At 38.1% G+C, this 14,683-nt stretch overlaps 1 protein-coding gene across 25 annotated transcripts in view; it reads left to right on the top strand.

Moving 5' to 3' along the window:
• GRM8 (glutamate metabotropic receptor 8) overlaps positions 1-14,683 on the top strand; it is an 814,344-nt gene that overhangs the window by 339,534 nt on the left and 460,127 nt on the right. For all 25 annotated transcript variants that reach the window (NR_163850.1, NR_163849.1, NR_028041.1 and 22 more), the window contains 3 exons: positions 8,725-8,860; positions 9,282-9,436; positions 10,729-10,866. Coding sequence is in view for 21 of the 25 variants with exons in the window: in NM_001371087.1 (NP_001358016.1) it covers positions 8,725-8,860; positions 9,282-9,436; positions 10,729-10,866 (429 nt within the window). In the remaining 4 variants the exon portion in view is untranslated. The remainder of the gene's footprint in view (positions 1-8,724; positions 8,861-9,281; positions 9,437-10,728; positions 10,867-14,683) is intronic.

The raw sequence follows: 14,683 nt of genomic DNA, 5'->3' as shown, positions 1-14,683 counted from the left end.
GTCTAGTCATTCTCTTTAACAACTGATAAAATGGTAATTTTGTTTGCTTATTTGTACACCAAAACCAAGGTCTGTCGTGTAGCTCTAACAAATTATATAACCACAGACTTGAGTTGATTTATGTAGAATTTAATTTGATGGAAATTGTGAACCAACTTGAGATACTGATAATACTGTAGTCATGTTGTTTTTTAAAAATGCACACTTAGTATTCTATACACAGCTTTGTAAGTAATTTCATCCCAATAAGTTAATCCTCAATTTCCATCACAGTTGGAACTTGGTGCTGTGACATTGTTTCTTGTTTTATTTTTCTCCTACTAAATTATTAATAGAGATTTTTGTCTTATAAATGAGCAACAACTAAAAACATAATTCTTTATCCTTTTAGATTGTTTTAACAAAACTTCTTTATTGAAAAACCAGAAAGAATGAAGGTCCTATTTCTCCTACTTGTGCAGGCTACAATTCCAGTTTTCTATCATTTGTATAGATTGCCTTTGTTTGTGCAACAAGACGTCTTTGAAAGGAAGTTTTAACATTAAATAATAACATTCTATTAATTATTTGCCTTATAAGGCAAACAATAGTCTACGGTTGTTTCAGAAAAATGATATCTTCATTTTTGTATAAATTTCAATTATACATTATTAACACTAATGTACATATGGTGAATTGACCTTCAAGATCCTATCAGTGCATGACCTGTTATTCCTATTTCTGGGAGTGCTATAGGCAGACAGCCTTCAGCTCTGAACCCTGTGAGGGAATGCCCTGGCTACAGAGAGCTGCCTTGGCCAAGTTCACCTTCCCCTCTTCCAGAGTGGCCCAAGTCTGATGATTCATTGTATTGGTCAGGGTTCTCCAGAGAAACAGAACCAAAGAGATTTTTTGTCAGATACTGGCTTACATAATTATGGAGGATGAAAAGTTTTACAATCTTCTGTCTGCAAATTGGAGACCCAAGAAAACCAGTGGTGTAGTTTGAATGCCTCAGAGCCAGAGGCACTGAGAGCAGGAGAAGATCAATGTCCCAGCTCAAGCAGTCAGGCTGAGTTCATTCAACCTTGGTCTACATTTTTGTTCCATTTAGGCCCTCAATGATCCCAGCCTGCATTGGAGAAGGTAATCTGCTTTATTCAGTCCACTAATTCAAGTGCTAATCTTTTCTCTATTTGTTTGTTTGTTTGTTTGTTTGTTTGTTTGTTTTTGAGACAGAGTCTCGCTCTGTTGCCCAGGCTGGAGTGCAGTGGCGGGATCTCGGCTCACTGCAAGCTCCGCCTCCCGGGTTCACGCCGTTCTCCTGCCTCAGCCTCCCAAGTAGCTGGGACTACAGGTGCCTGCCACTATGCCCAGCTAATTTTTTTTTGTATTTTTAGTAGAGACGGGGTTTCGCTGTGTTAGCCAGGATGGTCTTGATCTCCTGATCTCTTGATCTGCCTGCCTTGGCCTCTCAAAGTGCTGGGATTATAGGCATGAGCCACCCCGCCCAGCCAATCTTTTCTGACACACCTAGAAATAATGTTTAACCAGCTATGTGGGCAGCATGTGGCCCAGTCAAACTGATACATAAAATGAATCATCGCACTGATTGATGTGGAGGTATAATGGCCTGGCCTTTGTGGCCTGTTTTAAAGCAACTCTGAAGGCCATTCTAGCCTCAGAACTTCTTGTGGTGTCAGCAGCCTGTCACTGGGCCACAGCCAGCTGGATTTCTCTGCCTGGATTTCTCTGCTTCCCCTGAGCCCTGCATCAGGTAGATGCCAAGAGCAAATTTTGTGCATTTCAAACTCCTTCTGAGGTTTGCTTCTAGGAGAGTCCAACATTATTATCTCAACACATTAGATTCCAGCCTCTTAAAAAGGTAGCACAAATGTTTGAATGAAACAGAACATGTGGTTGTTTCCATAACAACTTTTGCTTAACAATTGGCACCCGTTAATATTTTAATAGTTTTAACCATTTTATTAAAGAGTTAAATTCTAATTTCAACTCAGATATTGGAGCCAAATCTTTACTACTTATGGAATCCATTTGAAAGGAGAATTAATTCTTGGGGGTAGGAACTGGGGGATGGGAGAAGAATGTAAATAACTTTTCTCATTCTCTCACCTTAAAATTGCCCCGATCACATTGTAATCAACAATGATGAAGAGTGAAATCTAGTCATTTCATCTATTGGCACAGGCAAGTGAGCAAGTATCACTTTTCAGAATTTAGGATGTTTGATAATATTACACATAAAATGGTGAAGATTCAAAAATATGATCTGTTGAAAAACCTGTGTTTTAGGGCTGAATGTCAAGTATCTCTCAGTGTTGGTGATGATTCTTGTCTGGCTATGATTATTACTGTTATTAACACTAATAATAATATGCTACATTGGCATAGGAATTTACCCTTTATAATTGGATTCTCACAGTATACCTGAGAGATAGTTATTATGAACCTCATTACAGAGATGAGGAAACTGAGAGATGAGAGACTTTTCAAGATTATGTGGGGCCACTCTCAGGTCTTCTGACAAGTCTATTTTCTTTCTCATTCCACCATCTCTATGCACTAGCAAATCAATACATACAAGCCTTTTATCTCTCATATCTGTGACACCTGACCACTCACCCACAAGTCTCAGCCTTCTAAAGGGGTAAAAATTCTGAAATGGCATTGTTTACAAATTTGCTCTTGTATCAATATGAGGAAATTCTAATGCCACTCTACAGATGAATACACTAAGGCCTAGGTAGTATTCTAATTCATGGCACCCTAATAAAAACTATTTTGGGAGGCAGATCCCATTTCAGTGACAACTTCCTCTGAATTGTCATGGCCCAAATATTTTTTTTACTTCTTTTAATGACATCTACTTTTAAACATATATTTACATGTAGCTATTTGTTCCCCTACTTGATGGAGAAGTCTTTGAAAGCAGCACTGTCTCATTTGTATTTCTCTATCCTAGCAGTACCTGTCACAAGTCTTGCATTTATTCATTCAACAAATGTTTGTTGAAGTCTATGTACCAAACGCAGTGATACATGTTGGGGTATACTGATAAATTTGAAAGACAAGGTTCAATACTCATGGATTTCTAATTGAAGAAGAAAAAGAAAAAGAAGTAACAAAAAAAAGTAAAATTAAAATTATTATGATTGCTGCAGTATGAAAGAAGTGGAAGACAAGAACCTCAGAAAAGTCTTCCTGAGAACATGCATCAACAGAAACAATTGGAAAGTTTGGAGGGTAGACTGGCTATATGCTGAAGAACTTTAAGTCACTTCTATAATCTGCATAGATTCCAAGTATTTTAATTAAACTCTTATTTAGGATAACAGAAGGACTGTATTTATGTAGCTGTCAATTAGATTTACAAGGGACAACTGGCAGGGTTTTAAAAAAAAAAAGAGTCTTTAAATTTGCTTTATCTTATCCATCAATCATTTGCAGTCACTAAACCATTAAGCCACAGGTATAGTCAATTGTGGATGGGTAAGATGATGGAAGAAGTCCAGACTTAGAGGCAGACAAATCTGGCTTTGAACCTGGATTTCAGTATCTTGCAAGCCGTTGGTACCCCTGTTTCTCATTTTCCTTATCAGAAAGATGGTCATGATGCAAACCTTCAAGTTCTGCCATTAGGAATAGAGATGGTGTCATTGAGTAAATGAGACTGGAAAGGAGTGATCATGTGTATTGTAAAGTATACATAAAGTGTTAAATTCAACAAATGATCTTTAAATTATTGTTAAGTAACCAGAAGGAAAAAAAATACACAGGCTGCAAGGAAACTAGCCAGGAAATTCTAGAAAACAGCCAATTATAAATTCCTTCATATAACATTTTGCCTGTAAGTACTAAGCTTTAAAAATTACAGAACAGTAACACCCCTGCAGAATAGGAAAGTTAAAGTCCCTTAAATTGTACACAATTAGTAATCTTTCAGACTGAGACATGGAAGAATAGATGTGGTGGACACATTCTTTGATGAAGGGCAACTTCTCTTCCTCCCACCCACCCCAGGAATTTAAATCAAGACAGAGTCTCTTTAAAAAGTCAAGCAATGGATGTGGAGTATTGTATGGAAAACGTATCTTTGAGGTCTGAATCTTTGAATTTCATTTTATTTTTTAAACCAAATTCTAACAGTATATAATAACCTCTTCCTCTTATGAAGTCATAGGACTATTTTAGGGGATGACCTATTTGTCATTTATGACTGAACTGTGGTGTATCTTATGCTGTTATCTGTGTTACCTAATTTACACCCTTGTCTGACATTTCTTATGTGTACATATTGTCATTCAATTATATCATAACTGCTGAGGACTGGCGGTCTTTGTCTGTAGCTCCTGAAACATAGTAGACCATGAGTGCTTATGAACAGATTAGCTGTCTGGTTTTTGACTGATATGAAGAAAGAAAGTGTGAATGGGTATCAGGGTTAAGGAAATAATCCCAGTCTTCTAACTACAATCATTTGAGAAATAATTTATCTACACTTTAATAAAATATACACAGGCACCAAACAGCACAATGCCATGTGGAACAGGTTCTCTACAAGCATTTGTTCAGCTTAAATAGATTAATAGTCCAGTGCCTCTTTCCAGGAAAATTCAAACTGACCAGGTTGAAAGATATGAGGTGAGGTGTGGGAATAGCAAAAAGTGAAATGGATTTAAGCTATGTTAAAATTCAACTCAGCTAACTCAGCTCTTTACAAACAAAAATGTTTAATAGGTCCATGGTGAATAAATAAATCAATGAATTCAGACTAAACTATGTTTGGATTGCTTGTTTGCTTCTTCTGAAACAGTAATAATAAAAATTTTCAGAACTTAATTTTTTATGGCTACAGAGTCAGTCTCAGAATGATACTCAGCATATAACATGTCTTTAATGGGATGCTTAAGTAATCATGGCAATTTAATTAAAAGGGCAGTCATCTTTTGAAACAGCTATTGTTCCCTATAGAGTGTTACTTCATGTTACATTTTTGCAGTTACCTAATGTTTCCACTCACGGAGGTTGGTTTGTTTGCATTTTAAATAAATTATACATAGTCTTCAACTTACCTCTAGACTTCATTCCAAAAGTTTTCTCAAAATATTTAATCACTCCTTTCCTCCTTCTCCAAACCTGATTTTTTTCAGAGTTCTATAATTCACCTTTTCTATTGCTGATTTAAATATTCTCTCTCAGTGACCTCTTTGCCCCACAACACTTCAAATACCTAACCTATCAGCCCCTGACGAAAGTATTACAATTCCCTTCTCTCTCTTTAGCTCCAGATTCACTTTTTCAGTTTGACATTCCATGCATACTTTGAAGACAACCTGCTTCCAATCAAAATCATTCTTTCCTCCTCCTTATCCTCCTGGATTTCCCACTTGTTTAATGATACCATCACATAACTGGTCACAAAGACCAAATCCTTGGAGTCATACTTAGCGGTTTCCCATTGCTTCCCTACTTACATCAAATCAATACAAAGCCCCATTGATTCTAACTCAGAGATTCTGCCTTAGCTCCAGCTGCTCCTCCCCAGCACCAGTAGCGCTGGCTCAGTCATCATTTCCCACTGCCTATTCCAATACCTCCTTGCTTGGCTCATTGCCTCCTGTTCATCCCACTTCAGGCTGCCCTCTGTATCAGCGATCGTCATCCATTTTTCTTCCGTGGAGTGCAATGCTCATACATGAGACATATTCCTATGGGCCACTCAAAGATCGAAGAAATAGAAACATTTAGTGAGAAAGTTAAGCATTTAATTATTCATAGTCTTCCACAGGCCCTGCAGAGCCACACACAATTGGACCCTTATCTCCATCTCATTTTTGTTGCCCACTCCTCTCACCCTCATTCACTGACTCCCCTGGCCCTTTCCTGCCCTTTCCCATGCTCTCATCCTTTTGATCTCAACTACATTACACAACTTTAGGGTGGCTTTCCCTGAGCAGTCCTCAATCTAAATTAAATTCCTTTGCTCTTCCTCACAGGGCTTATTATAATTTATAATTATGTATTATTTCTTCTTCTGCCTCTTCTGCTTCTGCTTTCTCCTTCTCCTCCTTCCCCTTCTTCCCCCTCCTTCCTCTTCCTCCTCCTCCCTCTTCCTCCTCCCCTTTCTTCTTCCTCCTCCTCCTCCTTTCTCTTACTCCTCCTCCTCCATCTCTTCCTCCTCCTCCTCCATCTCTTCCTCCTCCTTCCATCTGCTCCTCCTCCTTCCATTTCCTCCTCCTTGTCTTTCTCCTCTTCCTCCTTCTTCCTCTTCCTCCTTCTTCCTCTTCCTCTTTCTCCTCCTCCTTCTCCTGCTCTTCTTCTTTCTCGTCTCCATTCTTTTTCTCTTCTTCTTCTTTCTTTTTAGTTTGCATTAAGCCTGAGTTACCCACAATATTTCTGAATTCTGTGAACTTAGAGAATTTCTTTTATTCACCATTGTGTCCACAGCACCCACACAGTATCTAGCAGATACGGGGCACTCAAGAAATATTTACTGAAGGAATGAATCAATTATCACAACTAGTGGTAGTATATCGGTAGACTAGCTAACTGCAGGTAGTGACACAGCCCAATCTGTGTATTATGGGCAATTCCCACCCCTGGGATGCAAATTGTAAGGTTACTAAGAGTCCTGCTATTACAGGCATAATTTTGAATGTTCTCTAACTTAAAAGAAAAATAGTTTTATATACTGGCACCAGTTACTCATACATCTGCTGTACATATTAGGTCCGATCACAGCACCCTGGAAATCTGTCATTTGGCTACCAGACGTTTCTTCTTTGAAAGTCTACCTAAAGCATAAAGCTCAGCATATATTTCTCCTGCTGATGAACCTAATGGATCCCCATTGTTTTCAAAATAAAGTCCAAGTTATTTGATGTCTTAGTCTCTTTGAAATGCATAATAAATTATTATAGGAGACCAGTGCGGTGTGGTGGCATGTGCAGAGTAATCCCAGTTACTCCGGAGGATGAGGTGAGCAAATCACTGGAGCCTAGGGCTTTGAGGCTACAGTGAACTATGATCTGGCCACTGCACTCTAGCCTGGGTGACAGAGTGACACCCCCATATCTAAAAAATAAAAAATAAAAATTATCATATACTGGGTGGCTTAATCAATAGTAATTTATTTTTACAGTTCTGGAGGCTGAAGGTCTGAGAGCAAGGTGCCAGCATGGTCAAGAGCTGATGAGGGCCCTCTTCCTGGTTCAGTGTCTTTTTGCTGTGTCCTCACATGGCAGATGGTGCAAGAAATCTCTGTGGAGTCTTTTTTATAAGGGCACTAATCCCATTCATAAGGACTCCACTCTCATGACCTAATCACCTCCCAACAGTCCCATCTCCTAATACTTTCACACTGGGGATTAAGTTTTAACATATGAACACTCAGCCTACAGAATTTGGCATGTCTAACAAAGCCGTTCTCAAGTTGGACCTGGTCATTGTTTCCAACTTCAAACCCAGCCAGTCTCTACCATAGGCCATGATCATGCTAGGTTTTTACATACTTTGGCCTCCACCAGACATGTTCCACTTTTGTCCCCATGTGGATATATATTTGCTCTTTAAAATTCAGTTCTCTCAAGCACTTTAGTTACTCCTTCTTCTGTGTTCTGATTGTATTGGGTATCCTATTAATTATATACTTTATTATCTATTCCATGGTAACTTATTCAAATGCCTATTTCCCAGACTAGGTGGTAACTCCTGGATTAGACTGTGCATTTCCAATGTTGAGCCCAGTGCGTAGAATATAATGGCATCCAATAACAGTTGGATGACTGAGTGCATTGGCAATTGTTTGGAAGTAAAAATGCCTTTGCCTACTGAAGCAATGCTATAAATGGTGATTTAATTCTTAGCTGACTAAAAAAAAATACTGTTTATACCATAATGCAGTTGAAACCTATTACTAATATTGCTTTCTCATCTAGTTTCAGAATGTTATCTCTGTTTCACTGCAACTGGGGGAACCTCTTTCTTCTCCTCCTACCCCAGCCCAGAGGCAGAGATCTTTTCTATACTTTTCTCTTTTGTCCTTCATTGCCTAAGAAGGAGAGGCCAAAAGAAGGGTTCTGTCTTTTTATTTGCAGTGAAAATGAGATGGTATTTCTGCCATTTCGATTTTCATAGTGGCGATGTATGTCAATCCAAAGTTGGCATCTTTGGGGTTTGCCTGTGTCTTACATAGCCTTGAAGACCACTTGTCTCATAAGACATTGCTATGCTGATGCATGAGGATCTTGCTGCAGTTCTATTAGCTATACAATGAAATTAACTTTAAAAGAAGTCTACCAGTAAATAAAAGTAACAAAAGGACTTTGCTACTTAATAAGGGTCTCAACTATAAGACATATTCATACTTTTATTAATTCTGTCACTTGTCCTTTGGCTTATGTTGCATAAATCAAAAGATCCCTTCTTCTTTCCATCTTTTGACTCTCATCACACATCTTATACACCTTGGTTTTCTTAGCTATATCCACAAAAATAATGTTTAAATATTGGGAAAGAAACCCATGTCTGATTAATAATTGTTGTCATTTATTTGGTGAATATATTATAATGCAAACAAACAATTGCTCTTAATAGGTGAGAGTGACACATATTTTGAGAAATAATATTCATACAGAAGTATGTGCTTTTATAAAGTAGGTAATTGGGTTTGCTAATTAAATAAATGCTCTTTCTGAATCACCACCTCCCTTCTTTTTTAAATAGGTGGTGTTTGCATTGCTCAGTCACAGAAAATCCCACGTGAACCAAGACCTGGAGAATTTGAAAAAATTATCAAACGCCTGCTAGAAACACCTAATGCTCGAGCAGTGATTATGTTTGCCAATGAGGATGACATCAGGTGCTGATTACTTTTCTTCTGTATGTAGGGTCAGATTTGTGTCCCATATCCTCTTTCTAACATATTTCATGTTCAACATAAAAGCTTGTAATTGCCTTCCAATAACAGACTGCCTTCTAGTTTGTAAATCTGAAATACCTACAGAGTAAAACTTGGGGACCAAATGAGATAAGACAAACAAAGGTGATAGACAGAATGATGTGAATGAGGTTAAGGATAAGGCTAATTAACATATGTTGGAGTTAGTCTCTGCTATATTGTTTTTAGGAGATGATAAGACTCGGGCAGTTAGAATGATCGTCTTAATTGTTAAACAGTGACCTACTGAGTGTATACAACTTCCTAAATCTGGTCTTGTAATATTCATAATTGTGGTATTTTTAATACATGTGATATGCATTATTTATTTTTATTCCTGTAGGAGGATATTGGAAGCAGCAAAAAAACTAAACCAAAGTGGGCATTTTCTCTGGATTGGCTCAGATAGTTGGGGATCCAAAATAGCACCTGTCTATCAGCAAGAGGAGATTGCAGAAGGGGCTGTGACAATTTTGCCCAAACGAGCATCAATTGATGGTAAGAATGCACCATAGAGAATTTGTTTTATTCCAGTTGGATCTGAACTCAAAGGCAAAACTGGAGTATCATAATATGAGGAAATGCACTCATTACTGATGACTTGATACAAATTTTAGCTTTGGTGGCAGAATTGTCAAGACCAGTATTTAAACCAGCATGCATATGCATATATATATATATATATATATATATACACACACACATATATATATACACATATACATATATATATACACATATACATATATATATACACATATACATATATATATACACATATACATATATATATACACATATACATATATATATACACATATACCTATATATATACACATATACATATATATATGTATATATGTATATAGTGTGTGTGTGTGTGTGTGTGTGTGTGTGTGTGTGTATGTATTTAGGAAAGAGGACCCATTATATTTTTTTAAGAAAAAGACCATAGTCAGTTATTTCCATTATGTTAGTAATTGCACTTTGAGTTTGAGTTTGCGTATTTCCATGGGTATTTATGGTGGTTATAGCATTGTTGGAGGGAAATGCTTGATTTATAGAAAATGAATATATATGATGCTGGGCTTATCCTATGGATAAATAAATGCAACAGGAAAGACTTGGAGCATCCTGAAAGGCAGTCTATCTTCTAAACATCTTTTCCAGTCGGTTTGACAGTGACTGAAATTCCCATCTTAACATTATCCTCTGGAGTAAGGCATTATTTCCAGGGGGTCTCCCTTCAATAAAGTAGTTACCTGAGCAAACCGACACTTGAGTTCATGACTCCATAAGATGACATTAACATGATTGCTTTATTGAATTACCTGAAAACAGAACATATAGGAAGGAGAAATTTTGAAGTATGTGGAAACACAGGAAAGTCTGGAACATTGATCCATGCTAGGAAAGAGAAAAGAATGAGGCAAGTTTAAGTTGGGTTCTAAGTATTCAGGATTCAGCATGAAGTCACTGGTTGCTGCCTCTGGGAGTAGTAGAGTAGGAGAGGGTTTAAGAAGGTCGCTGACACCAGGCTTTCCTGTTGTACTTATTCATAGAGCCAGGTGCTTGGGTACTGGTGGTGGTGTGGGGGGATTGTCCATTGATCCTCCTTGACTTTTGCCATAAGAGAGGCCTTATTTATGGGCTACTGGCTTTCTCTCATTTGTTATGTGTTTTGTTTTTTTCTTTTCATGCAGTGATCAGAATATAATGTCCATTCGAAAGTTCTGACAATATTTAATTTTGAAAGAATATTAAAATCATACCTTTCTCCTTTGAAATAGGATTTGATCGATACTTTAGAAGCCGAACTCTTGCCAATAATCGAAGAAATGTGTGGTTTGCAGAATTCTGGGAGGAGAATTTTGGCTGCAAGTTAGGATCACATGGGAAAAGGAACAGTCATATAAAGAAATGCACAGGTAACCACTCAAATGTTTCCTGTGGTGCATTTATTTCATTTTCATTTGTTTTCATTACTTGATAAATTACGTTTTTCTATATGGATAATGATGAATGTATTTTCTATTTTTTGTGTCTTTTTGTTATAGTGTCTCAGGGCTGAGCATACCCTGATCATTCAACAAACTTAAATTTGTTTATTGGTTCTTTCAATGGATCAGCAAGTTTTTATTGAACATATACCATGCATACAGTACTGGGGTATCTGGGAAACATTTATTGTCTACTTTGGAAAATGTACTTTATTAGGTTTGATGGAATACAGACAAATAAGACATGGTATTGCTCTCCAGGGGTTCAAAATGTAATATGTATCATGATAAGTTGCTATAAGACAGTATTTTTCAACTATTTTAATCGCTGTCCTCTATAATACTATTATTTTCTTAAATCCTGCATAGCAGCTATCCTGGAACATGTATGATTTTTAGATGCTTTACTTTCCATAGCTTGTGCTTAAAAATAATAATGATATTGAATATGCATTTTTGAATATATGATTAAAACTATATTTATTTTCAGATGATTGTGCACATAGAAAAAAAACTCGCATAATTTTTTTTTTGAGACAGAGTTACTTAGAACTGAGCAGTAAATTTAGCAAGGTTACAGATATGAGGTCAATATAAACATTCATTTTTAATATACGTATTAGAAACTAACACATAGAAAATGAAATTTAAAGAATACTGCTTATAGTAGGATCAAAAACATACAACATATATAAGGGTCAATTTTAACAAAAATGCACAAATCCTTTACACTGAAAACTACACAACTTGAATGTGTGTTTTAGAAATGATTCATTCCTTCTTCTACCCTGCCACCCCCAGACTTTGATATGTCCTCCTTTCCCTCCTCCTCACTTTCTTTGGAAATAGCTGTTCAAATAAAAGATGTAATATACTAAAAGCTAGCACAGACATATAAACAGAGACAGAACAAGGAGGTGGAAATGGGTGCCACACTGTGGAAGAATCTGATTTCAGGCTTCCATGTGCCAGGCACTTTTCCAGGAGCTGGGTTGAGTGAAGAAAGGCAATATTCATGCTCACGGGCTTACATTTGAGTGTGGGGAGATGGACACTCCATAATAAACATAAATGAACAGATGTGTTCAGATGCTGAGATGTGCTTAGAAGAAATACAACAGATTAACTGTGAAAGACTAACCTGGGTATTAGGAGGAGGAAGGTAATTAGACTGTGTGGTCTGAGTATGCCTCGCCAGAGGAGGTGACATTTGAGATAAGACCTGAGTGACAAGAAGTGGTCAGTCATGTAAAGATATGACAGGAATGCATGACAAGCTCTAGCGCCAGAGTAAGGCTCTTTTGTTCAAAGTAAAGGAAAAAAAAAATAGTTCAGGGAGGTTGGAGCAAGAGTGAATATCGCGAGAGGAAGCGTGATGACAGCTGAGGCTTTGATGATAGTCTGGAGCCAGACCATGCACAGTCTTGAAGTTCTTTCCAGAAGTTCCAGAGTTGAGGAATTTGGGCTTTATTCTACCGGTAGGACACAATGTCTTGAGGCTCTTCATCTAGAGAATTGCTCAGACACTCGGTTCAAGAAGATTTGCCTGGCAGAAGTGTGAAGAGGATTGGGGTTCAGGGGAGAAAATGGAGGCAGGTCAATGAGGACTCATCCAGTATCCTGGGGACAGGCCATCATGGTCTAAGAAGAGCTAACTAGGGGCCGGGCACGGTGGTGCAAACCTGTAATCCTAGCACTTTGGGAGGCCGAGGTGGGCATATTGCCTGAGCTCAGGAGTTTGAGACCAGCCTGGGCAACATGGTGAAAACCCATCTCTACTAAAAATACAAAAAATTAGCCCGGCGTGTGGCGGGCGCCTGTAGTCCCAGCTACTTGGGAGGCTGAGGCAGGAGAATTGCTTGAACCCGGGAGGTGGAGGTTGCAGTGAGCTGAGATTGCACCACTGCACCCAGCCTGGGCGACAGAGTGAGACTCTATCTCCAAAAAAACAAAACAAAACAAAACAAACAAACAAAAAAGCTAGCTAGGGATGTAACACACAGGACAGACGCTTTGGTACGTAGTGTTATATTTATCTAACGCTACATAGTGTTGTGTTTATATAACAACCAGCTGAGTGGTTGATGCTGGGGCAAAGATCGTTAAATCATGGAGGATGCTGATGTTAAACCTCTATCAGGGAGGTCTAGGAAAATGGTGATGTAATTAGTTAACAGAGGAAATATAAAATAAATAGAATGGTTAGGTGTTTGGGAATAAACTTGAATTTTGTTCTGAGATAGCCCCATGAAACTGGCCAGCAGGTGGCAGCATAAGGTCTGGGACCCCACAGACAGTTCACTAAAATTTGAGATTAGGAAGTCTTGGAGATTTTGAAGTTAAAGACAAAAGCAGAGATGCAATTGCCATGGGAGACTGAGAAAAGATGAGGAGTGATGACTGAGAATTCAAGGGCAGGAACCAGGAAAGGACACTGAGAATGCTGGGCTTGGGGGAAGGAGATGAACTGGGAGTCAAGGTTGTCTCAGTCTCCAGGAGAAAGACAGGTGCGTGAGGTTTCAGTGCTGCAGGGACTTGCAGCTGAGAGATAAGGGTGTGCCTGGGTAACCAAATTAGAGGGGTTGAGAGAGAACAGAATAGAAGTGGAGGAAAGGATGCTGTTTCAAGAAGTTTTGAGAGAAAGAAAGTAGGTATGGTGGGAGAGCTTGAGAAAGAATTGGAGATTTCTTTAGGATAGGGCACATTTAAGCATGTTTTCAGAAAAAAAAAAAGAAGGGATAACTAGTGAAAGAGAATAAATGCAGAGTAGGATCTTGATGGAAACTTTAAGGAGAGGCATTAAAGACCAATGTTACCTTTAAATCATGTGATTTGGTTGGGGGAAAAGAAGGTACACACAAACATATACGTAATCAGAGAGGAAAGTTCTATAATTAAATGCTAAATTTGGATATAGATAATTAGGGAAGTTCAGAAAATGTATGTAAGTTTACATTGTAAAATCCAAAGCTCTGTGGAGGAGATGAGTGTTTGATGACAAGGATTTGGGAAAGACATCCAAGATGAGAAGAAATGGGGAGTCAGCAGGACAAAGGCATGGAGTAGGGTGTGACGTGTAGGTGCGTGAACAGCAGTAAAAAGGTCCAGCTTCTTGGAGAGGAGGATACATGAATGGAAAATACAAAGTGGCAGTTTATAGATGGGTTTGGAAGGAGAGTTAAGTTAAGCACTTACATGCTTTCCACTGAGATATATTTTACACTATGCTTAACTTTGAGTTCTGAATGTTATTGTTTGATTCTCTTTAAATTCATTTCCTGTTATTTAGACTGTATTAGTGAAAATACCCCAGTTAATGAAATGGATGGACTCATACACACACACACACACACACACACACACACTGTTAACCAGTCACATAACTTTTTAATAGGCTGTTTTCAGAATAACCAGTTTCTCCAAACTCATATTTTCTTTCTTTTTTTTTTTTTACACTCGTAAGTGGGAGTTGAACAATGAGAACATATGGACACAGAGAGGGGAACATCACACAGTGGGACCTGTCAGGGGGTTGAGGGTGAAAGGAGAGTGAGAATTAGGCCAAATACCTAATGCATGCGGGGCTTAAAACCTAGATGATGGGTTGATGGGTGCAGCAAACCATCATGGTACATGTATACCTATGTAACAAACCTGCACGTTCTGCACATGCATCCCAGAGCTTAAAGTACAATAAAAAAATCATATTTTCTAAGTTCAGTTGAGGTATGTAGCTGTTCCTTTA

Source organism: Homo sapiens, chromosome 7 (assembly GCF_000001405.40).
Source record: "Homo sapiens chromosome 7, GRCh38.p14 Primary Assembly".
Classification (NCBI taxonomy): Eukaryota; Metazoa; Chordata; class Mammalia; order Primates; family Hominidae; genus Homo; species Homo sapiens.
Note: the sequence above shows the minus strand (reverse complement) of the source record. Positions and strands in the feature narration are given on the sequence as shown.